Source organism: Homo sapiens, chromosome 13 (assembly GCF_000001405.40).
Source record: "Homo sapiens chromosome 13, GRCh38.p14 Primary Assembly".
NCBI lineage: Eukaryota > Metazoa > Chordata > Mammalia > Primates > Hominidae > Homo > Homo sapiens.
The window spans coordinates 66642347-66665642 of record NC_000013.11 but is presented as its reverse complement, the minus strand read 5'-3'; the positions used below and the strand labels follow the sequence as shown (position 1 = coordinate 66665642).

General features: G+C 35.4%; 1 protein-coding gene and 1 long non-coding RNA gene across 6 annotated transcripts in view; one reads left to right on the top strand and one right to left on the bottom strand.

Annotated features, from left to right (window-relative positions):
- PCDH9 (protocadherin 9) overlaps positions 1–23296 on the top strand; it is a 927503-nt gene that overhangs the window by 564694 nt on the left and 339513 nt on the right. The window lies entirely within an intron of this gene.
- Positions 5498–23296, bottom strand: part of LOC105370247 (uncharacterized) — a 99761-nt gene continuing 81962 nt past the window's right edge. The window contains exon 3 of the long non-coding RNA XR_007063818.1: positions 5498–5582. This is a non-coding gene — a long non-coding RNA (uncharacterized LOC105370247). The remainder of the gene's footprint in view (positions 5583–23296) is intronic.

Here is a 23296-nt window from a genome sequence, read left to right as displayed (position 1 = left end):
GTATATTACAAAATAACAACATAGGCAAAGCAAAGCAAGTTAATAAGTCACAGAAACAATGTATATTGGATGCGTCAAGGAAGTCTTCCTGGTCCAGGCAGAATTTGATATGGCCCTTAATGAACTACCAGGATTTGGGCAGAAAGCTGGGAAATATGTGTACCAAATAGGGTAAGAAAACAGTAAGGGAAAACGCATAGGATTGTTTAAATGTGGAATGTCATTAGAAAAGTCCTTAGCTTTCTGGTCAGGCGCGGTGGCTCACACCTGTAATCCCAGCACTTTGGGAGGCCGAGGCGGTGGATCACCTGAGGTCAGGAGTTCGAGACCAGACTGGCCAACATGGTGAGACCCTGTCTCTACTAAAAATACAAAAATTATATGGGCATGGTGGCAGGCACCTAGCTACTTGGGAGGCTGAGGCGGGAGAATTGCTTGAACCTGGGAGGTGGAAGTTGTAGTGAGGCGAGGTCTCACTGTTGCCCTCCAGCCTGGGCGACAAGAGCAAAACTCCGTCTCAAAAAAAAAAAAAAGGAGAGAAAAGAAAGAAAAAGTCCTTAGCCTTCTATTTTGGCAAAAGGATATTATTGGTATAGGAAATTAATAGAAAAACAGTGTTGACTGTTAAGCTGGGTTTTTCCATTGGGGGCTTCAAAGCTTGTGTAAGTAGACTGCATTTTATTATGTAGGGACTAGCAGGACAGGGTCTGTTTTATCTATGCCTTAGGAAAGTTATTTTTTAAGTTGCAGTGAAGGGAGACTGGGGGTAGGGTATCATGGGATGTAGGGATGGGATGAAGCCTTAGGAACATGCCAGGTAAGAGGGTGTAAGTGCCTAAACAAAAGGTAAAGTTGAGAATATAGAGGAAATGATGGGTAGGGGAGACAGTGCATAGAGTGGACACATACAGGCTAAAAATGTTAACACTATGCCTGTCTCTTTAAGGATTTTATTGTCCATGGAGAATATATATCATAGTTTAAAGGAGAAATAAGTCACGTTTTCCATTTTTTGGAAAATAAACTTTAAACATGAATTCTCTCCTGAATTCATATAAGTTTCTAGGAGTCATACTGTTGTCTACTACAGTGCTTCCTAAACCTGATTATGTACCCAAATCACGTGAACAATTCCTTAATTCTTATTCATGTTTAGTAGCATTGAGTGAGGCGTTTGAATCTTTGTTTAAAAAAAAAAAAGCCCATTGCTGTTTGGGAAGGGATGTGAAAATTGCTGATTATGATACAAAAGTGTCCATGTTCAACCTCCAGCTTTCCTGGAAGTCATAACAAACTACTATTAATCCTCTCTTAACCTGATGACATTGCTATAAGCTATTTTAAGGAAAACTAATAAAGTGAATGTCTTATTTGTGCATATCCAAGACAGATAAAATTATTTAGACTGTAAATAGCATAATTGTGTAAGTAGGCAGGCAAATTTTTCAGAAGAGAATTTCAATAAAATAAATCTTGGATATGATTGGAAATACTTTTCTTATTTGTTTGATGGAAATTACTGTAGGCCAATTAGTATATATCACACTTTGTATGTGGCAAAAGGGATAGGAAACTTATCCCACAGTGGTCTGGCTGGCTGTTTTCAGTGTGTCCTGCTAGCAGAATTCTAGGTGAAAGTCTGTAGTTCCTTTTTTATCTTGCTCCAAGCTCCATGATGCTCAGCCAAGCAAGAAGCTACAATTGCCTTCAAAGATGACTCTTCACTTGAATGAGCACTGTGGGGTGCAGAGGAAGATGAGAGCCTGGCCTTGTGTAAGAAGATTTAACATATGCCTCATTTTAGATCAGGCTCTATCTGCAAAGGATTCCATGGAACCTTCAAGGCATGTACACATCTCTAATTCACAAGAGGAAATTATGAATTACAGAGTAAATCTGAGTGAATCTTATATTTGAAAGAGACTTAGGATATTTCGATTTTTATAAAGATTAACTAATTTTTATATCGAGAATCTCTCCATGCGTCTGGTTCATGTGTCAGGAGATACAGTAGTAATTTACAGGTCATTAGTGTCAAGATATATGCAGATAAACACACATAGACATCCATCTGTTTGAAGATATAATTAACAACATTTTAGAACATAGGTCACTTTTCTATGTTAGAAAATGTATTTATTGCATAGTCATGAAAACCCTCACGTTTATTTCTCAAATCTCTTTTTATCATTGACTCCAAAGATAATATATGTCTAGTCTCTAAGGCCTTCTCGGAAAGTGCTAATTCAGCAGCATTTTTCTCTTAGGCTGTCAGGTTCTGCCCAGGTTTTTTTGCCTTCATATTTGGAAGAATCCTGCTGCATTTAAGCTACACAATAAATATTAATGGTGAAAGGGACTTATTTTGTTTTACTTTGGATAAATATACTTTTTTATGTTAAGTATCCAGGACATCAATCTCATAAATAGAATAAATGAGAAATCTTCCCAAAAACACTTGTGAAATATCATAAGCCAGTATCATTAAGTCCACAACCTAAACAGGAACTTGACAATTTACTTGTATTTTTGTTTATCTCCCTTCACATCATTTAAGCTGTAGTGTTAAGATTCTCCTATAGAGACTGTTTTTCCTTATAGTTAATTGGGAAAAAGAAGTAAAACAATTGATACTGAGTTGTGTCATTTAGCATCATATATACACTGTTATTTCTTTTTAAATCTATAAGGGAACTCTTGATATTGTATAGTTATAGAAAATGATACAGCCCGCTAGAAATCTATGATAGAAGTGTTTCAATTAGTTATGTCTTATCTACTCATTCACTTTCTTATAGTTTTACTTACTAATTCTCTTATAACATACTATGTTTTAAAATTGAAATATTTAGGCCTTACTTTCTTGTCTTCTCTTATTTGCCCTTGAACTGGAGTTATTAACTATGAATAAAACAGACCAGAACCCTACACCACCAACTCCTTATGTCACCCATTGTTTCTTCATTCGCCCATCCATTGTTTCCCCACATAACTCTTCAAACATGTATGACGGTCTGCTCCAAGCTAGTCCTTATGTTGGACACTGGATATTCAATGTCTTGGACAATTAATATAAATCAGAGGAATTGTTCATGTTCAGTTGTTTGATATTTAAGTCTTATTTTCCTTATTGATTTTGAATCATTTATGTGACATTCTTTTTTTTTTTGAGACGGAGTTTCACTTTTGTTGCCCAGGCTGGAGTGCAGTGGCTCAATCTCAGCTCACGGAAACCTCTGCCTCCCAAGTTCAAACAATTCTCCTGCCTAAGTCTCCCAAGTAGCTGGGATTACAGGCATGAGCCACCACGGCTGGCTAATTTTTGTATTTTTAGTAGAGACGGGGTTTCTCCATGTTGGTCAGGCTGGTCTCGAACTCCCAACCTTAGGTGATCCGCCCGCCTCAGCCCCCCAAAGTGCCAGGATTACAGGGGTGAGCCACCACGCCCGGCCTTATGTGACATTCTTTAGGTTCTCATCTTTGATATACTTGATATTTGTTTTGATGTTGCTAGCTACACTGAAGCAATCAAAGTTATTGAGGCTTTCTTATCCCCACTTCCTAACACACATACACACATACACACACACACACACACACATACTCACAAAGGATAATTTTTCATCATGCCACAGCTTTAAACAAATGTAACACTGAGGACCTGAGCATGTCACAATATTAACCTGTGGGAAAGTCAGCCTAAGTTATTTTATTGGTTTACTTGAGTGATGATTTCGTAAAGCGTGGATATGTTAAATAAGGCCCAAAGGCTATGATATTATAACTCCAGAACTTTTTGATTATAAATACAAATTGACTAGAAAAATGCAGTTTCTTTAAAGTTCACCCTTCCCCCTTTATCAGTAGCATATTTAAAAGTTAGTCATATAGTTCCATTGCTCCACATTTAAGCTTTGTCTTCCTGTGTCAGATTGGATATCTGTGTTTGTGTTTATTTGATTTATGATAAACCTAATTGTACATGTGTGCTGATAAAATTGTGTGAGTTTTATCAATTTATTATTTCCAACTTTTCATTTGGATTAGCAGAAAATTATGGTCTAAGGATTGATTCAACTATGACTTCATGGTATAATCCAGATAAACAAGGGCATACCTCAGGGGACCTCTCAGTGGTAAAGCAATTTTAATTAGTAAATGATCCTGAAGCCGCACATTGAAAACAAACTATTACTCAGCAAACAATATTGGTAACGCCAGTCAGAGTTCTCATTCACAGCTTGTGAAAAGGCAGGATGCTTTGGGGAAGAGCTGGTGAGGGGTAATGAGAAGTGTCACTTAAAGTTAGCAAAGATCAAAATGAAGGACACTCATCCTCCTAGCACTAGAACTCATATCGAAGTGTTAGGTTTCTGAGTTATCTCAATTCTTCAGTTCCAACAAGGGAAAGGAAAATGCTCAGCTAACTTTCTATAAGAAATAAGGTTCTTCATCTTGAAATTCTTAGTTAATAAAGGAAACAGGAAATGGCAGCATAATTATGGCTATTGCTAAACCAGCATGTCACCAAATCAAAATTCTTAAAAAGAAAATAAAATGGGATTCGTTATTTTAACTATTTTGTTTCCAAATATCAAATTGTTAAATTATTATTTTAAACTGATATCCTCCCTTCTATTTTCTCTCTGTATTCCTTATGAATTATGTTTTAGATTTCAGATATTTATAATGTACTACTAATAGCATATTGTAAATAACAAGTTTCTAGATGGATTTCCAGAAACATCACTAAAATATAAAATATTTCCAGAAGCAAATCAAAATTCTTAAAAAGAAAATAAAATGTAAAAAGAAAATAAAATGGGATTGATTATTTTAACTATTTTGTTTCCAAGTATCAAATTGTTAAATATGATATTTAAACTGATATCCTCCCTTCTATTTTCTTTCTGTATTCCTTATGAATTATGTTTTAGATTTCAGTTATTTATAATGTACTACTAATAGTATATTGTAAATAACAAGTTGCTAGATGGATTTCCAGAAGCATCACTAAAATATTTGTATTGTGCAATCTTAAAACTACTGCTCTACTTAGAATTTAAAAATTTAAGAAAAAACATCAACCAAAGAAGTTTGATTTTTACTGCAAAGAAGTTTTAATAAGATTATTAACATTGTATTGGGCATTTGAAATCAGATATATGAGTAGATTGGTCACTATAATCAGGTGGATAAGTCAGTAATCAGTTGCTGAACATACTTCTTCCTTCATATTCTCAGGAGACCTTATCTACTGCAGCCTCATTACTCAGACAGTGCAGTGATTCATTATAAGGTCAATGATGACAAAAAAGGAAACTCACAGTAAAAAAAAAGGCAAAGAAATAAAGATCTCACCATATACTGTGAGTAGTCAGAACAGCTCTTGCTTCTGCAAGTGAATGAGAGCTGTTGCTGGGGCATTTAGAAAAAATAAATGGCCTCACATTTCCACGGCATTTCACCAGGCTGGAAGATACCTTTTCCTCCACTGTTCGTCTTCCATACCTCAAGCCCCAGCAGGTTATGATTCACTTGACCATGTGGTGGTGTGTTATCACTTTCAACTCCGAGAAAAGCTAGAGAGAAAAAGAGAAAGATTTTAGGCATTCGTTTAGCTCCAAACATTGGAAAGACTTAAATCTTTACCACTTTGAGGTGGTGTAGCTTAGAATTCGCCAGCAGTTAATAAGCTTATTTCAGTGTCATGCAAAGCAATGGCACCTTAAATAGTGTCATCCTTGACTCTGCTGTTAACTTGTTATACTTCACTAGTTTTGGCCACTTGTACATGCGCTAGTCCTAGCTAAAAATAAGCTAAAACACACACACACAGGCACACACCCCAAATCAGCTTCTTTGATGATTTAATGGGTGGAGTTAAGTTGAGAACAGAAGATATAGAGAATTAAGAGATCGGGGAAGGAGGCTGAGCAGGCAGAAGCAGTAACAGAAAAAAAAAATGTTTAAAAAGTCTTTCAGGGAAGATGCAGCAGGATTCACGTGATGTAAAACTGGAGAAGAAAATTAAAACCTGCGAAAGATTAAGCAAACCTCTTCTTTGCTTGTTCTACCAAACACACACAAACACACACACACAAACATAACTTAAGTGGAGGGATAAACCACATTAAACTGTATCTGGTTTCAAATGTTCCAAGGCCTATTTTAGCAGTTGTTTTTCTGTAAGTCATTCTGACTTGGAGCACTGGTCCTCCCCAAGGATATAAAATGTAGTGAAACTTATTATCAAGTCTGATGAAACCTAATGGTGTTTTACCTCTTTTTGGATGACTAGTGCATGCACAAAATAAGCCTTTGAGACAAATTCTATGATTTAGTCAATACTTATTGAGCACTGTTCTAAGGCTAGGGATACATTTATATATTTGACAGTGAAACAAACATGACCTTGTCTACATGGTGCTTATAAACTAGTGGAAGAGTATTCGATTTTCCATTGCATTGGCCATTTAATATATTTTTGTTATTATTATCATTTCTTTAATTTCGGTTAATTTTCTCATCATCTGTGATAATTTAGGCTTTGCTTTTTGTTGTTGTTGTTGTGTTTTATTGTTTTGTTTTTTGCAATGGAGAAAGTATATGCAAATAAGCAAGGGATTTGATCCTGACAATTGTACTTACAAAATATGACTTGGAGGAGGCTAGTTTTTATATGTCTTGAAGTCTATTTTATCCTTTGCAAAAAGAAGACACTAATTCTTAAGTCATAATTTGATGAATATGATATAAAACATAAAACTCTTAATGTAGTCACCAGAAAACAATAAATGCTTTAAAAATGTTCGTTCTGATCTTTTCCTCCTCTTGGATATCAACATAGAATTTCAACAGATAGGAAAAGTCATAGATTGCAAAGTACAAAGTATCATCATTTTATATACCATTAAGAAAATAATTCTAACAATTAAATTACAACATCATACTTACTTAGCACATTGATTATGTGGCATGTCCTGAACCTAGAATGTATAGATACATGTTTAAGAAAACATTGTGAATAAACAAATGAGTGTTTAAATTGTGTTTGTAAAATACAATGATTTTGGCATTTTAAATCTGAAGATAACTCATGTTAATGCTGTAGAGAAAAGATAAAATTGATTGCTATATGTATATACATTCATGAAAGTTTTGAGGAAGGACATAAAAATAAAAAGTAAATTAACCAATAAATGATCATGACTAAATATTACCCTTAAGAATTGTTTATTCTATAGTTTAAGCAATAGACTGGAACAGACACATAAATAATCTTTAAAAGCTAAAGGTACCTCTTAACCTAAAATAAATGTGTTTTTATATCAACTTGGGAAATTCAAAGAGATATAAACATTACTTACAAATTAAACATATCTCAAAGTAATAGTGTTTCTGATTATTGTATTCATTATTTCCACTCAACACAAAAAATTCAAACAACCAAAATCTAACAAAAGCAAGGTTTTACTAGTACAATCGGGGGACTGGTTTTGGGAACCCAGAAGATACCAAAATCTTCAGATGTTTAAGTACCTGATAGAAAATGGCATTGTTCTTGCATATAACCTAGGCATATCCTCCCATATTTTAAAAATCATCTCTAGATTTCTTATACCCAGTAAAATTTAAATGCTATGTAAATAGTTGTTACACTGTATTTTTCTCTTTAATGCCATTTTTTAAGAAGCATTTTTATTTTGTGAATTTTCAACCTGCAGTCTGTTGAATCTGAGGATGCAGAACCCTGGAACACAGAGGGCCGATTGGACTGTAGATTTCTTTGATGTGCAGGCTCTGAAAGAGTAAGCATTAGGCTAATAATGCACATCATAATAAACAGGTAATCCTTGTAAGTGGTGATGCTTTACACTCACAGATATGCCCAGGAGTGTAGGATGTTGTTCCCTGCTCCATTGGCAGGAGGAGATATTATGACATCTATTTCCACGAGTTCTTAGAATATAATTCACATATGCACATGCACTCACACCCATCATTCAGATCTGCTGGATTCCAAAGAATCGCTTCAATACTGGATTTCCAATTGCTGTAAAATACTGCACAGAGAATGAGAATTTTTGTTTAAAGTCACATTTGGAGTCAGTAAAAGCATAGATGTTAATCTGGCAAAAACTATGCTTGTGACGTAATCCAGGCAACCAGGAGCTCTTTGCCTGCCAGTCTCTTTGTTCTCCATTTGGCATTCTTCCTGAAATGCTTGAGATCATAGCAATGAAGAGACTCCCGTATGATTAAGTGACTTTGTGTTCAGGTGGCCAGATGCCAGGCGCCTCCCTGTTATTTGTATTAGTCCTTCACCTAGAAACAACAGATGCTGTGGTGACTCAGGGAGACATGTTTACAGTAGGAGAGACTAAGAGATAGCTTCCTGGAGGCTAAAGTGATGGCACACACAGGAACTGAGACTTCCATAACTTTTCTGGAACTGGAGTAGAAACTTGTGTAATTGGTTATAATGTTTTATATCCACTGATCTCTGTATAACTTATTCTGGACCCCGAGCCACGCTAATGAATTCTAACATAGATTGCCTGGTGGTCTAGGCAAATCGGTGTAATTAAAATGGACATAGGCTTTTGTCTGAGGAAGCTCATTTCTGTTGTTTTCTTTTCCTTGTTCCTCTTGCTCTGACTTGCTCTTCTGCTGCAAGAGCTATTTCTGCTTTATACTCCTTTTTAAAAGTTCAGATGCTCTCATTTCCTTCTGGGGATTTAAGAAAGAAATAGCAAGCGTCTTGGAATCCACGAGGTAAATACCCAAATCTTTCATTTGGTTTCCTCTTTCTGTATAAAGAGAGATCAACACTGTACCTAACTCATATCATAAAAAAATTTCAAACTTGGAATTTTGTAAATATCCCCCTACTTGTCAGAATATTCTCTAGTGAATATGAAGCACTTTCACAGGAGTATTAACTCTTAGCGGCTCCTTTTTCAAGAAACTACAGAAGAGGGCATTTTAACCGCCCCCCCACCCCACCATCCCCAAGGCCCCCAGTGCTCTTAAGCAACATGTGTACCTTTAAATATGTGCAACATGCCTAGAAGGCATCACTTTCACAGCTGGAGAATGACACTTATTAAAGAAAGAAAAAGAAAGGAAATAATTAGCTTTCAAAAGAAAACTGCAGAATTTTTTTTTTCCTTTATGAAAGAACAAATTTGTTTTCAAAGAGTAACCTGAATGAGAAGAAAAGGAAACTTTTCTAATTAGAATGTAATTCCAGAAACCTCTGATGGTGTCTTAACTCTACTGAATATGGAAATTGCAAGCCTTCTCTGTTAATTAACTCAATTCACTAATGTTGGGATGGACAGGGCTCCTCAATGCTAAGCTTTAGTGCTCCACTTTGAAAGCAGTAGCAGGTCAGTGGGGCTTCCACCACAGTGCTTGTGCATATACTGACTTTGTTCAGTAACAGGCTCAGCCAAGAAAATGGCCTGCTGACAAGAAGTTTGCTTTGATTTTGCTTTTTTTTTTTTTGCTTTTCCTTTTAAAATATTTCATTTGTTTTGCCAACATGCCTGCTTTTCTGGCACACCTGCCTTCTTCTTCAGATAGTGTTAGTTCTCTTAGAATCAATTGTGAGCAGCTTGCAACCAAATGCCTGATTAAAAAGTTAGCAGACCTTGAGTGCAATTACTTCAGCTCTATAGCACTCAGGCATTAAACCCTGTGTTAATTGTTTTCCATTTTTATAACGATCCTTATAATAGGATAAAAACAGGAGAGATCATTTCTTGTAGCTAGAACAGCGGAAAATAAAGACATTCAGTCTGATTAATCACTGTAATATGAAATTAAACACAATTAGGAGTAAATACATTTTAGGATGTTTTTTGATTTAAGCAAAAGATATCATTCTTGCTGTGTCAAAATATACCTACAAATTACCATAGCAACAAATTATTCATCGACAAAATGCTTAAGAAATAACTTGTACAATGATAATTTTTAGGATTTTAATATTGCTAAGCCTTATTTGTCTTAACACTTTTTATAAATATATATATTCCCTTGATAAATCATTTTACACTCAGATTATATTAAATTCATGCATTATAATTTTAAAAATATAGTTAAGCTAAATATTTTAAAGGACTGACTTTATATGAAGAAAAAGCACATTAAAAAGATTACATTGGAAAATATTCTAGCCAAAATTGCCTTATTTCAGCATTTCATTGCATTGAATAGTCCTTAACATTAAGAATTTTATTATTTAAAATTATTAATATTTAAATATTTTCCCATGTGAGAATAAAGAAATGCTGGAAAGCACTTTTCTCCTTTCTAGTCCTTATTCTGTACAGCTCTTTTGGGCCTTATTTTATTTTACCCATGATCAGAAAAAGAGTTTTACCATTTGTCACACAGTACTCACTCACTCTTAACTACTGTTTTTCATGGTTGAAATTCAGGCTGTGATTCTTTATTTTCTTTTCCATTTTTTTTGTCTTCTGTAGTTCCCAGAAAAGAAGACATTCTGAGCATAAATGCAACTTGTTGAAAGGCCTTCAGGAAAACTCCTTTCAGACAATCAACACTTCTACAGAATCATTTTTTAATTATTTAAAAAAAAAATGCCACAGGGTATGGTGGCTCACCCCTATAATCCTAGCACTTTGGTAGGCCAAGGTGAGTGTATTGCTTGAGCTTAGGAGTTAGGGACCAGCCTGGGCAACATGGCAAAACCCCGTCTCTACAAAAAAACAAAAACAAAAACAAAAACAAAAATTACCTGAGCATTGTGGCATACCCCTGTAGTCCCAACTACTTGGGAAGCTAAGGTGGGAGGATTGCTTGAACTCAAGAGGTCAAAGGCTGCAGTGAGCTGAGGTCGTCATGCCACTGCACCCAGCTTGGGTGACAGTGAGAGAGTCTGTCACCAAACAAACAAACAAACAGACAACAACAAACAACAAGTATATCTGTTTGTCTTTTTTTCTATATGTCAACTCAAATGAATTTTCAGTATTTAATTTTTAATTTTTAATTTTTGTGTGTACACAGTAGGTGCACATATTTATAGGGTACATAAGATTTTGATACAGGTATACAATGCTTAATAATCACATCAGGATAACTGGGTATCCCTCACCTCAAGTGTTTATCCTTTATTTGTGTTGTAAGTGATCTAATTATACTCTTATAGTAATTCTAAAATATACAATAAATTATTGTTGACTGTAGTTTCCCTGTTGTGCTATGGAATACTAGATTATATTCATCCTTTCTAATTATATTTTTGTACCCATTAACCATCCCCATGTCTCCACCCCCACCACTACCCTTACCAGCCCCTGGTAACCATTCTTCTACGCTCTATCTCCATGAGTTCTATTGTTTTGATTTTTAGCTCCCACAGATAAGTGAGAACATTTGAAGTTTGTATTTCTGTGCCTGGCTTATTTCACTTAATATAATAACTTCCAGTTCCATCCATGTTGTTGCAAGTGATGGGATCTCATTCTTTTTTATCTGAGTAATATTCCATTGTGTTTATGTACCACATATTGGGTGCTGATGGACACTTCAGGTTGATCCTGGATCCTTGCGATTGTGAATAGTGCTGCAATAAACATGGGAGTGCAGATGTCTCTTTGACATACTGATTTTCTTTCTATTTTTTTTTTTTTAATTTTGAGACGGAGTCTCGCTTTGTCGCCCAGGCTGGAGTGCAGTGGCACGATCTCAGCTCACTGCAAGCTCTGCCTCCCGGGTTCAAGCCATTCTCCTGCCTCAGCCTGCCAAGTAGCTGGGACTACAGGAGCCCGCCACCACGCCTAGCTAATTTTTTTGTATTTTTAGTAGAGACGGGGTTTCAGTGTGTTAGCCAGGATGGTCTGGGTCTCCTGACCTCATGATCCGCCAACCTCGGCCTCCCAAACTGCTGGGATTATAGGCATGAGCCACCGTGCCCGGCGATTTTCTTTCTTTTGGGTATATACCTCACAGAGGGATTGCTGGATCATATGGTAGCTCTATTTTTACTTTTTTGAGGGACCTCCAAACTGTTCTCCATAGTGATTGTGCTAATTTACATTCCCACCAACAGTGTACCAGGGTTCCCTATTCTCCACAACCTCGCCAGCATTTTGTTATGGCCTGTCTTTTGGAAAAATGCCATTTTAACTGGGGTGAGATGATATCTCATTGTAGTTTTGATGTACATTTCTCTGATGATCAATGATGTTGAGCACCTTTTCATTTACCTGTTTGCCATATGTATGTCTTCTTTTGAGAAATGTCTATTCAGATCTTTTGACCATTTTACAATCAGATTAATAGGGTTTTTTTCCTGTTGACTTGTTTGAGCTCCTTATATAGTCTGGTTGTTAAGCCCTTGTCAGATGGATAGTTTGCCAATATTTTCTCTCATTCAGTGGACTGTCTCTTCACTTTGTTAGACAACAAAGGAAACAGACTTTCCTTTGCTGTGAAGAAGCTTTTTAACTTGATGTGATCTCATTTGTCTATTTTTGCTTTGTTTGTCTGTGCTTGTAGGGTATTATTAAGAAATCTTTGCCCATACCACTGTCCAGCAGAGTTTCCCCAGTGTTTTCTTTAATAGTTTCATGGTTTGGGGTCTTAGATTTAAGTCTTTAATACATTTTTATTTGATGTTTGTATGTGGCAAGAGATAGAAATCTAGTTTCATTCTTCTGCATGTGGATATGCAGTTTTCATGGCATCTTTTATTGAAGAGACTATCCTTTCCCTCAATGTATGTTCTTGATACCTTTGTCAAAAATGAGTTCACTGTGGATGTATGGATTTGTGTCTCTATTTTGTTTCTCCATTTGTTCTCTATTCTATTCAATTGGTAAATGTGCCTGTTTTCATGCCAATACCATGCTATTTTGGATACTATAGCTTTGTAGTATAATTTGAAGTCAGATAATGTGATTCCTCCAGTTTTCTTATTTTTGCTCAGGATTGGTTTGGGTAATTTGTGGTTCCATATACATTTTAGGACTTTTTAAAATTGTTTTTTGTGAAGAATATCATTGGATTTTTTTTTTTTACAGATTGAACCAACTTTGTATATTACTTTAGGTAGTATGTACATTTTAACAATATTGATTCTTCCAATTCATGAACATAGATATCTTTCCTTTTTTGTGTGACCTCTTTAATTTCTTTTATCAATGTTTTACAGTTTTCATTGAAGATATCTTTCCATTCTTTGGTTAAGTTAAATCCTAAGTATGTTATTTTATTTGTGGTTGTCGTACATGGGATTATTTTCTTGATTTCTTTTTCAGATTGTTCACTGTTGGCATAAATAAATGCTACTGATTTCTATATATTAATTTTGTATCCTGCAGCTTTACTGACTTTATCAGTTCTAATCATTTTTTGATTGAGTCTTTAGGTTCTTTATCTGCAAACAAGGGTAATTGGCTTCTTCCTTTCCAGTGTGGATGCCCTTTATTTATTTCTCTTGTGTAATTGTTCTAACTAGGATTTTCAGTAATATGTTGAATAACAGTGATGAAGATGGGCATCCTTCTTCCAAATCTTAGAGGAAAGGTTTTCGGTTTTCTCCATTCAGTATGACACTAGCTCTGGGTCTGTCATATATGGTTTTATTGTATTGCGGTACGTTATTTCTCTACCCAGTTTTTTGAGTGTTTTTATCATAAAGGGTATTGAACTTTATCAAAAGCTTTTTCAGCACCAGTTGAAAGGATGTTATGGTTTGTGCTCTTCATTCTCTTGAGATGATGTATCACATTGAGCAATTTGCATATATTGAACCATTATTACATCCCTGGGATAAATCTCACTGGGTCATAATGAGTTACCTTTAATGTGTTGTTGAACTTGATTTGCTAGCATTTTGTTGAGGATATTTGCATCAATGTTCATCAGGGATATTGGCTTATAGTTTTCTGTTTTTAATGTGTTTTTGTCAGGTTTTGGTATCAGTGTAAAATTGGCCTCATGGAATGAGTTTGGAAGCATTCCTTCCTCATCTATTTTTTGGAATAGTTTTAGTCAGATTGGTATTAGTTCTTTAAATAAATGTTTAGTAAAATTCAATGGTGAAATCATTGGGTCTTAGGCTTTTCTTTGCTGGGAGACTTTTTAGTACTTTATTACAGCTTTGATCTCATTACTTGTTATAGGTATGTTCAGGTTTTGGATTTCTTCATGGTTCAATCTTTGTAGGTTGTATGTGTCTGGGAATTTATTCATTTCCTCTAGGTTTTCCAATTTATTGGCACATAGTTGCTCATATTAACCTCTAGATCTTTGATTCTGTTGTATCAGTGGTAATGTCTCAGTTTTCATCTCTAATTTATTTATTTGGGTCTTCTCTCTTTTCTTTTTGGTCTGGCTAAAGGTTTGTGGATTTTATTTAAAAAACACTTTTTTGTTTGATTGATCAATTGTACTTTTTTTCATTTATTTCTCCTCTGATCTGTATTATTTTTTTTCTTCTACTAACTTAGGTTCACTTTGGTCTTTCTTTTCTAGTTCTCTAAGATGCATTTTTAGGTTGTTTACTTGAAGTTTTTCTGCTTTTTTGATGTAGGCACTTATACCTATAAATTTTACTTTGGGTATTGTTTTTGCTGTATCGCATAGGTTTTGGTATGTTGTGTTTCCATAATTATGTGTTTCAAGAACTTAAAAAATTTCCTTCTTAATTTCTTCACTCACCCCCTGGTCATTCAGGCATGTATTATTTAATTTTCATGTATTTGTATAGTTTTCAAATTCCTCATGTTATTGATTTCTAGTTTTATTCTATTGTGATCAGAGAAGATACTTGATATAATTTCAATGTTTTTTTATATTTTTGAGACTTGTCTTGTGGCCTGATATATGGTCTACCCTTGAGAATGATTCATGTACTGAGGAGAATAATGTGTATTTTGCAGCTGTTGGATGAAATATTATATAATATCTATTAGGCCCTTTTGGTCTATAGTGTACATTAAGTTCAATTGGTCTATAGGGTATACTAAGTCCACTGTGAAGGGGACTTTGCAAGACAACGTCCCCTTACTCTTTGTTGATTTTCTGTCTGGTTGATCTTTTCAATGTTGAAAGTGGGGTGTTGAAGTCTCTAGCTATTATTGTATTGAGGTCTATCTCTTTCTTTAGCTGTAATAATATTTGTTTTATAAATCTGGGTGCTCCAGTGCTGAGTACATATATATTTACAATTGGTATATACTCTTGCTGAATTGGCCCCTTTATCATTATATAATGCTCTTCTGCATCTCTTTTAGAGTTTTTGTCTTTAAATCTGTTTGATACAAATACTGCTACTCTGTTCTTTTTTAGTTTCCATTTGCATAGAATGACTTTTCCTATCCCTTTATTTTCAGTCTAGGTGTGTCTTTATAGGTGACGTGTGTTTATTGCAGGCAACAGATCATTGGTTCTTATTTTTTCATTCAGCTACTCTATTTTTTTTGATTGGACAGTTTAGTTCATTTACAGTCAATGTTATTATTGGTAAGTAAAGATTTACTCCTGCCATTTGTTGTATTCTGGTTGTTTTGTGGCCTTCTCTTCTTTCTTTTCTTCCTTCCTATCTTCCTTTTACTGAAGGTGGTTTTCTATGGTGGTATGTTTGAATTCCTTGCTTTTTATTTTTTTGTATCTGTTGTGTGTTTGTGTTTTTTTTTTAATTTGAGGTTACTATGAGGCTTCCAAATAATATCTTATAATGCATTATTGTAAAATAATGATAACTAACACGGATTGTCTAAGGAAACAAACAAGTGAGTGAAGAAGAAACTAATAAAAACTCTACACTTTAACTTTGCCCCACTGCTTTTTACCTTTTTGTTTTTTCTATTTATATCTTTTTGTACCATTGATGTCTTGAAATGTGACTGTAGTTATTATTTTTGATCAATTCACCTTCTAGTCTTTCTACTCAAGAAATGAGTAGTTTAAACACCGCAAGAACAGTGTTATAAAATGCTGTGTTTTTCCGTTACTTACTATTACCAGTAAGTTTTGTATCTTCAGATGATTTTGTATTGCTCATTAGTATCCTTTTCTCTCTGACTGAAGAATTCCCTTTAGCATTTCTTTTAGGGCAGGTCTGGTGTTGATGAAATCCCTTAGCTTTTGTTTTTCTGGGAAACTCTTTATTTGTCCTTCATGTTTGAAGGATGTTTTTGTTTGATATACTGTTCTAGGATAAAAGTTTTTTTTTCTTTTGCACTTCAAATATGTCATGCCACTCTCTCCTAGCCTATAGGGTTTCCACTGAAGAGTCTTTTGCCAGATGTATTGGAGCTCCATTGTCTCATACTTTTCTTTTCTCTTGCTGTTTTTAGATCCTTTCTTTATCCTTGGCCTTTGACAATTTGATTATTAAGTGTCTTGAAGTAGTCTTATTTGAGTTAAATCTACTTGGTGCTCTGATATAACCTTATTTTACTTGAATATTGATATGTTTCTCTATGTTAGGGAAGTTTACAGTAATTATCCCTTTGAATAACCTTCTCCCCCAAACCCCACCTCCTCTTTAAGACCAACAAATCTTAGATGTGCCCTTTTTAGGCCATTTTCTAGATCTTGTAGGAAGGCTTCAATCTTTTTTATTCATTCGTTTTTTGTCTCTTCTGACAGTGTATTTTTAAGTAGCATGTCTTCAAGCTCACTAATTCTTCTGCTTGATCTTCTACTGTTAAGAGACTCTGACACATTGTTTAGTATGTCAATTGCATTATGCTTGGTTTTTTAAAATTTTTTCAGACTTTCTGTTAAATATATCTGGTAGGATTCTGAATTTCTTCTCTGTGTCATTTTGAATTTCACTGACTTTCCTAAAAATAGCTATTTTGAATCTCTGTCTGGAAGGTCAAATATCTCTGTCTCTCCAGGATTGATCCTTGATGCCTTTTTTAGTTTTTTTTAGTGAGGTGAGATTTTCTTGGATGGTCTTGATACTTGAGAATGTTTGTTGGTCTCCGGGCATTGAAAAGTTAGGTATTTATTGCAGTCTTCACAGTCTGGGCTTTTGTGTACCCATCCTTGTTGGAAAGGCTTTCCAGGTATTCCAAGGGAGTTGGGTGTTGTGACCTAAGTTTTTGATTATTGCAGCTGCATCTGCATTAGGGGGCACCCCAAGGTCAGTAACACTGTGGCTCTTGCTGACTTTTGAAGGTACCACCTTGGTGGTCTACGATAAGGTCCAGAAGAATTCTCTGGATTACAGGCAGAAAATCTTGTTCTCTTCCCTTACTTTCTCCTGAACAAATGGAGTCTCTCTCTTTGTGCTGAGCTGCCTGGTGCTGGAGGAGGGGTGACTCAAGCACTCCTGTGGCCACCCAACCACTGTGACTGCACTGGTTCAGACCTGAAGCCAGCATAGCACTGGGTCTCACCCCCAGCCTGCAGTAACCACTGCCTGGGTACCACCTATGTTTGCCCAAGTCTCTAGCACTGTACAGTCAGCAGGTGGCAAAGCCAACTAGGTTGTGTCCTTCTCTTCAGAGCATTGAGTTTATCTTGGCTCCAGGCAGATTCAGGGATGTTGTCTGGAAGCCAAAGCCTGGAATTGAAAACCTTAGGAATCTCTCTGGTGCACTATTTTACTGTGGTTGAGCTGGCACCCAAGCCAAAAGACAAGATTTTCCCACCCTTTCTTCTCCTTTCCACAAGTAGTAGAATTTCTCCCCCTGGCCGTCTCTTCCCCAGGCCCACAGCAGGTACTGCCTGCTTACCACTGATGTTCACTCAAGGCCCAAGGGCTCTTCAGTCAGCTTCTGGTGAATGCTCGTGAGTATGAGACACTCCCTTCAAGGCAATGGGCTCCCCTCTAGCCCAGGGCAGGTAGAGAAATGCTGTCTAACAGCCAATGCCTGAAATCAGAGAACCCAAGAACCCACTTGATGTTTTATCCTACTGTGGTTGAGCTGGTACATAAGCTGCAAGACAAAGCCCCCTTTACTCTTCTCTCCCACCTTCTCAAGCAGAAAGATTTTTCTCTCCCATAGCCACCACAGCTGGGAATGTTCTCGGTCACAGCTGAAGCCAACACATCTCTGAGTTTCACCCAAGGGCCATGGTGAGTACTACCTGGCTACCGCTGCTGATTATTCAGGACCCAAGGGCTCTTTAGTCAGCAGGTGATTAACCTTGCCAGGACTGGGTCCTTCCCTTCAAGACAGCAGTTTTCCTTTTGGCCCAGGGAGTATCTAGAAATGTCATCTGGGAGCTAGGGCCTGGATTGGGGGCCTCAAGACTCTGCCTGGTGCTCTATCCTACTATGGTTGAGCTTGTAAGCAAGTTGCAAGACAAAGTCCTGTTTACTCTTCCCTCTCCTCACCTCAAGTAAAAGGAGGAAGTCTCCCCTGGAGCCGCAAGCTGTACAGCCTGGGGATGGGGGAGGATAGTGCAAGCATTTCCTTGGAAACCCTGGCTGGTGTCTCACTAAGTCACCTACTCCCCAAGTCCACTGGGCTTCAAGCCCAGAATAGCATCAGAATTTGGTTAGGAATTGCAGTCCCTGTGGCCTAGACTGCCTTTCAAGTTTATTTAGCACTCCAGAGCACTTTAGGTCTTGGTGGCAAAGCTTGCTGGAACTCACTTGATGGGTGATTCCCCTCTGGCTAGGGCTGGTCTAAATGTTCTCTCCATGGGCACTGGCTGAGTTCTGCCCAGTGTTGCTTTCCACTGTGACAGGGCAGCACCGAGTTCCAATGCAAAGTCTCACAATCACTGCGCTCTCCCTCCCTCAAGTGTACAGATACTGTCTCCACACCACAAAGCCACTGCTGGGGCATGGAAGAAGGGTGGTGTTGGCAATTCAAGAGTTTCTTTTCTACCCCTCTTCAACGCCTCTTTCAATGATATAAAGTTAAAACCAAGTCCTGTGATCATTCACTTGACTTTTGGTTTTTATGAAGGTGCTTTTTTTGTGTGGATAGTTATTCAATTTGATGTTCTGTGTAGAAGACGATTGGTGAAGGCTTCTATTCAGCCATCTTGCTCCATCTCTCTTTTCAGTATTTTTTTCTGAGCAGATAAGTAACAGTTTTTCATGTTAAGAAAAATGAAGTCAAGTCAGTTATTTCATTTTACTGTCATTAAGGAAAAAATAGTTTCTGATTATGTACATGGTTGTATATTTTCATTCAACACATATTTCTTGTCGTGTGCTAAGCATGATGTGAAGTGCTAGATATATCAATTCAAATAAGACATGGTTCCTGCCTTTTAGAAATTTATATTTCTAGCTATAGCTGGTCATAATTTTCTTAATGTATGATTTTGATAATAATTTCAGAAAATACAGTGAAAATCCCAGCTATATTAAGAAATCTGAAAAGAAACAATGGAAGTGTATCAGGATACCATTATTAAGCACCCAGCATTATTGCAACTTAATAATTCAATCCTGAAAAGGTAAACATCACTACATCTCTGTTTATGTTAATGTATTTAGAGGGACAGAGTAAAAATAAGAGAACTCTAGAAGCTTTGGGAAACATGTTTCAGTAACATCTAGAATCTTTCTTGTTAGTTTTATTCCAGGGATACAGAGTTTGTGTTCCACACAGGAATTCAAACAAAGCTGACAAGAGGCGGCTTTTGTAGAGTTATTATTTCATTGTTTTGCATAGAATTATAAGCTAGTGGGACTTTGAATTGTAGCCTCCCAGTGTAAGCCAAGTGGCCCTTCATGTCCTGCTATATCCCTTACTGGAAGACTTCCCTGTATAGATTGGATCTTTCTGTTACTTATTTCTATTGTACCCTGAATTTCTTCTTCATAATACCTATTTCATTTGTAATTACTGGTTCTATTCTATTTCATTTACTACTTTATAAACATTATGAATGGAGAGACTGTACCAGTCTTGATTGACAAAAATCTCAATATCTAACAGGGTCTCTGATAGAAAGTAGGTGATCAACAATGTTTGTTGAATAGCTGACTAAAGAGCTCTAGGGAGTCTCAACTTTTCTTAAACTCTTCTATCCTAGAATATTTTCTCCACATTTACAAGTGTATCTTATATCCTTCTATTTTAGCAGGCATTTTCCACGTTTTCAAATTCTTTTTATGTTTTAGTTTTAGAAATATCAGTTTTATAAGGACTCATAATTTAGCTACTTTCTCTTGTACTCTATTTTTTTAATATGAATGTCTCTCGCATGCAGTTTGGAAACTAGTAATGAAATTAGTAAGGAGAACAGATTGGAAGTTTTAAAACAATGTTGCTAAAATATATTTATATCTCAAATTGTTGATTTTCAACTTCTTCTTTTACCAGAAACACTATGATTGTACTTTTTTCTTCTAACAGTTTTGCCCTGCAAACACTACGGGAGATTATATGCATGGGTGATGGGGAGGAGGAAGGGGTCATAAGATCATACTCATGCACTAAAATAACTTTTTTCTATCAGAGTTTCTTAGTAACTAATATTGCTGAACTGCTGCGTTTGATTGGTTATCACCCAAACTGCAAATCTGATGAAACTCTTCTAGATTTTCATATTTATGAAAAGTCAGTGATAAAACAAGATGTCTGAACTGCATTCTCTATGTGCTTTATCAGCTGGTAAAGCCTCAGATAAGATGCCTTCTACAGACAGTACGCTCTATGATCTGTTCCAGGAAAGGTGATTTCTTAATTCTCAAAGTGCCATCATCTATCTTCTTCCATCTGTCAGACCAGGACATGAACTAGATCAGAATTATTTTCTAATATGAGGAGCATTTCATTTCATCTTCATGAAGTTAGCTCTCTGAAATATGTCTCTTGGAGAATAAACATTTGTTTAAATCATTATAAAATATTTTTAAATGGCTATTTAATGTAGAAACTTTAAAGTCTATACTGTTTAAAAAATTAAAAAATAGAAGCCGAGGACAATTGAGGACCACAATTACAAATTTGTGGAAGCAGAAGTACTTTTTTTTGAAATATATGTAATTATGTGAATATAGAGCCTTGATGACTGATGTAAAATGGCCCATTCAGAGCTAAATATAAGAATGATGATACATAATTATCTATATCACTAACACACATGCATGCATGCACACAAGCTCAATAGAAGTAAGATTCAACATAATATTGAACAGTGCTATCATTTAAATGATTTGAAAATTGCCCGAAGTCTGTTATTTTTACTACAAAAGTTTGTCTACTTCCTCTTTCTAATCTTTTTTTAAGACTATTTTTAGGGCAGTTTTAGGTTTACAGAAAAATTGTGCCCAAAGTACAAAGAATTCTTATATACACTGTCTTATTGAACACAGTTTTCCCTACGATTTAACATTTTGCATGAGTGTAGCATCTGTTACATATGATGAGCCAGTATTGATGCATTTTTTATTAATAAAATTCATAGTTAATGTTAGTGTTAACTTATCATGTTTTTTTATACCCTAGATAATAAAATATTTCTTTTAATTATGTATTGTATTTATCCTCCATTTTGTTTAAATACACATGTTTAAGCAATTGTTGACTCTAATAATTTCATTGAAAAAGTCATTTCAGGCTAGCAATTTGTTCATCATCTTTAACATTATATACATACAATAATATGTTTCTGATATTTGTGAGCCTATGTATAAATTTTAGAAAATTTAATGTATTTTTTCTAATTGCAGGCTGTCTTATTGTTCTTAAATTTTAATGCATAGGGCAAATTGTGTTAGACAGTAAGTTCCCTCCAGGTGTGGGAAATTTTGTACATGTTTTATTTGGAAACTATCTTTCCCTCTCTGCCCTAGACAAAAATTAGAAGGCAATTCTGTGTATATCCTTTAGATCTTAGAGTCAAGAGAACTTACTGGTGTTTACATTTTTATCTTCAAAAAACATATTGCTACTATTTTAGGATGTTTACCTTCTAGATTGCTCTATCCACATTTAGAACATAATGTTTGAGAGTGTCATGCCTTCTAAAGTAACTACATTTTTTAGTACAATTCAGCATTTTACAGAAGCTACCTAAACTTACAGAAGCTTTTGACATATAGAAGTTCTTGACATACGTTTGAATTTTATATTTGTATCCAGAAGAAACAAATTATCCTTAGTGCACAAATAACTGAGATAGGTGACTCGGTAATGTTTTCAAAGGACAGACTAACTAAAAAGCCATAGGGCAAGTAGCGGTTATCGCTGAAATGTAGGAGTGATTTTTGTTTCAAATATCAGGCTCAAAGTCACAGTGACTGTCTGAAATAATAGGTGGATTAAAAAAAAATGAAGTCCAGCTACTTCGACTGTTCAGAACAAAGACTCCTCTACCCGGGAGAAAAGAGATATAAAATCTTATTCATGTTTATTCCAACTGGGTTAGTTTCTCTGTTTCCTTAAGATCATTATAAGGACTCTGATTCTAGCTGAGTAGAGTAGGTAGTTACATATTATATTTTTTAAAGCAAGAGAGGCTTAAAACATATTTTCCTCCAGCTTATCAGGTCATCAGTGTTTTTCCATCTACTGATTAATGTTTATTAAAACTTCCCAAAATATCTTGATATTATTTCCATATCTGAATGTTACTTTTCAATTTGTATGTTGGAAACTTGTTTTATAAGCTTTTTCTCAGATTTCTATGATTCAAAACCGCTTATGAAGTCTATCATTATTCATCGCATTCTCTCATACCATACTGCCTTTATTATTATTACTAAATTTATGAGCCAAAAAGAACATTTCTGCATATAAGTTGAGAATAAAATTGAGACTGATCTTTATTTAAAGAACAGAAATTATGCATTTAAATAAGTGCTGTCCTTCAAATTTGCCCTCATTCGTAGCTACCCTTAATATTGTGATTTCTCAAAATATTTGGAATTCCACTTTTCTAATGGAATTCCAATTATATTGGAATTCCTCAAATATAATTTTTAAGCTACTGAAGAAAATGTGCCATTTTTACTTTATGATTTCTTTTTTTAAAAAATACTGTTCACTACTTCTAATGTATTTTAGGTGTTTGAAAAAATAAAATCAGGTCGTGAAAGGCAAAGTGTTGACACCTTGAGGCTGTGTCGTATAATATGCAAGGTTTCAAAACAATTCAAAACCATAAATTTGAAAACTTTAAAAAATCTAGTGGTGTTACTGCCATAGCATATGAATCATTAAGTACCTAATAAAGAACAGAATAGATACTTTATAAGATTTCTGTTAATTCAGGATGTGTTTTTCTCATCTTATAACCACAATTGCATATGATGAATTCTACACTCAATGAAATATTTCTAAACAAATAATTTTTTGTTACCTGGTCAGGCTATATGTTACAT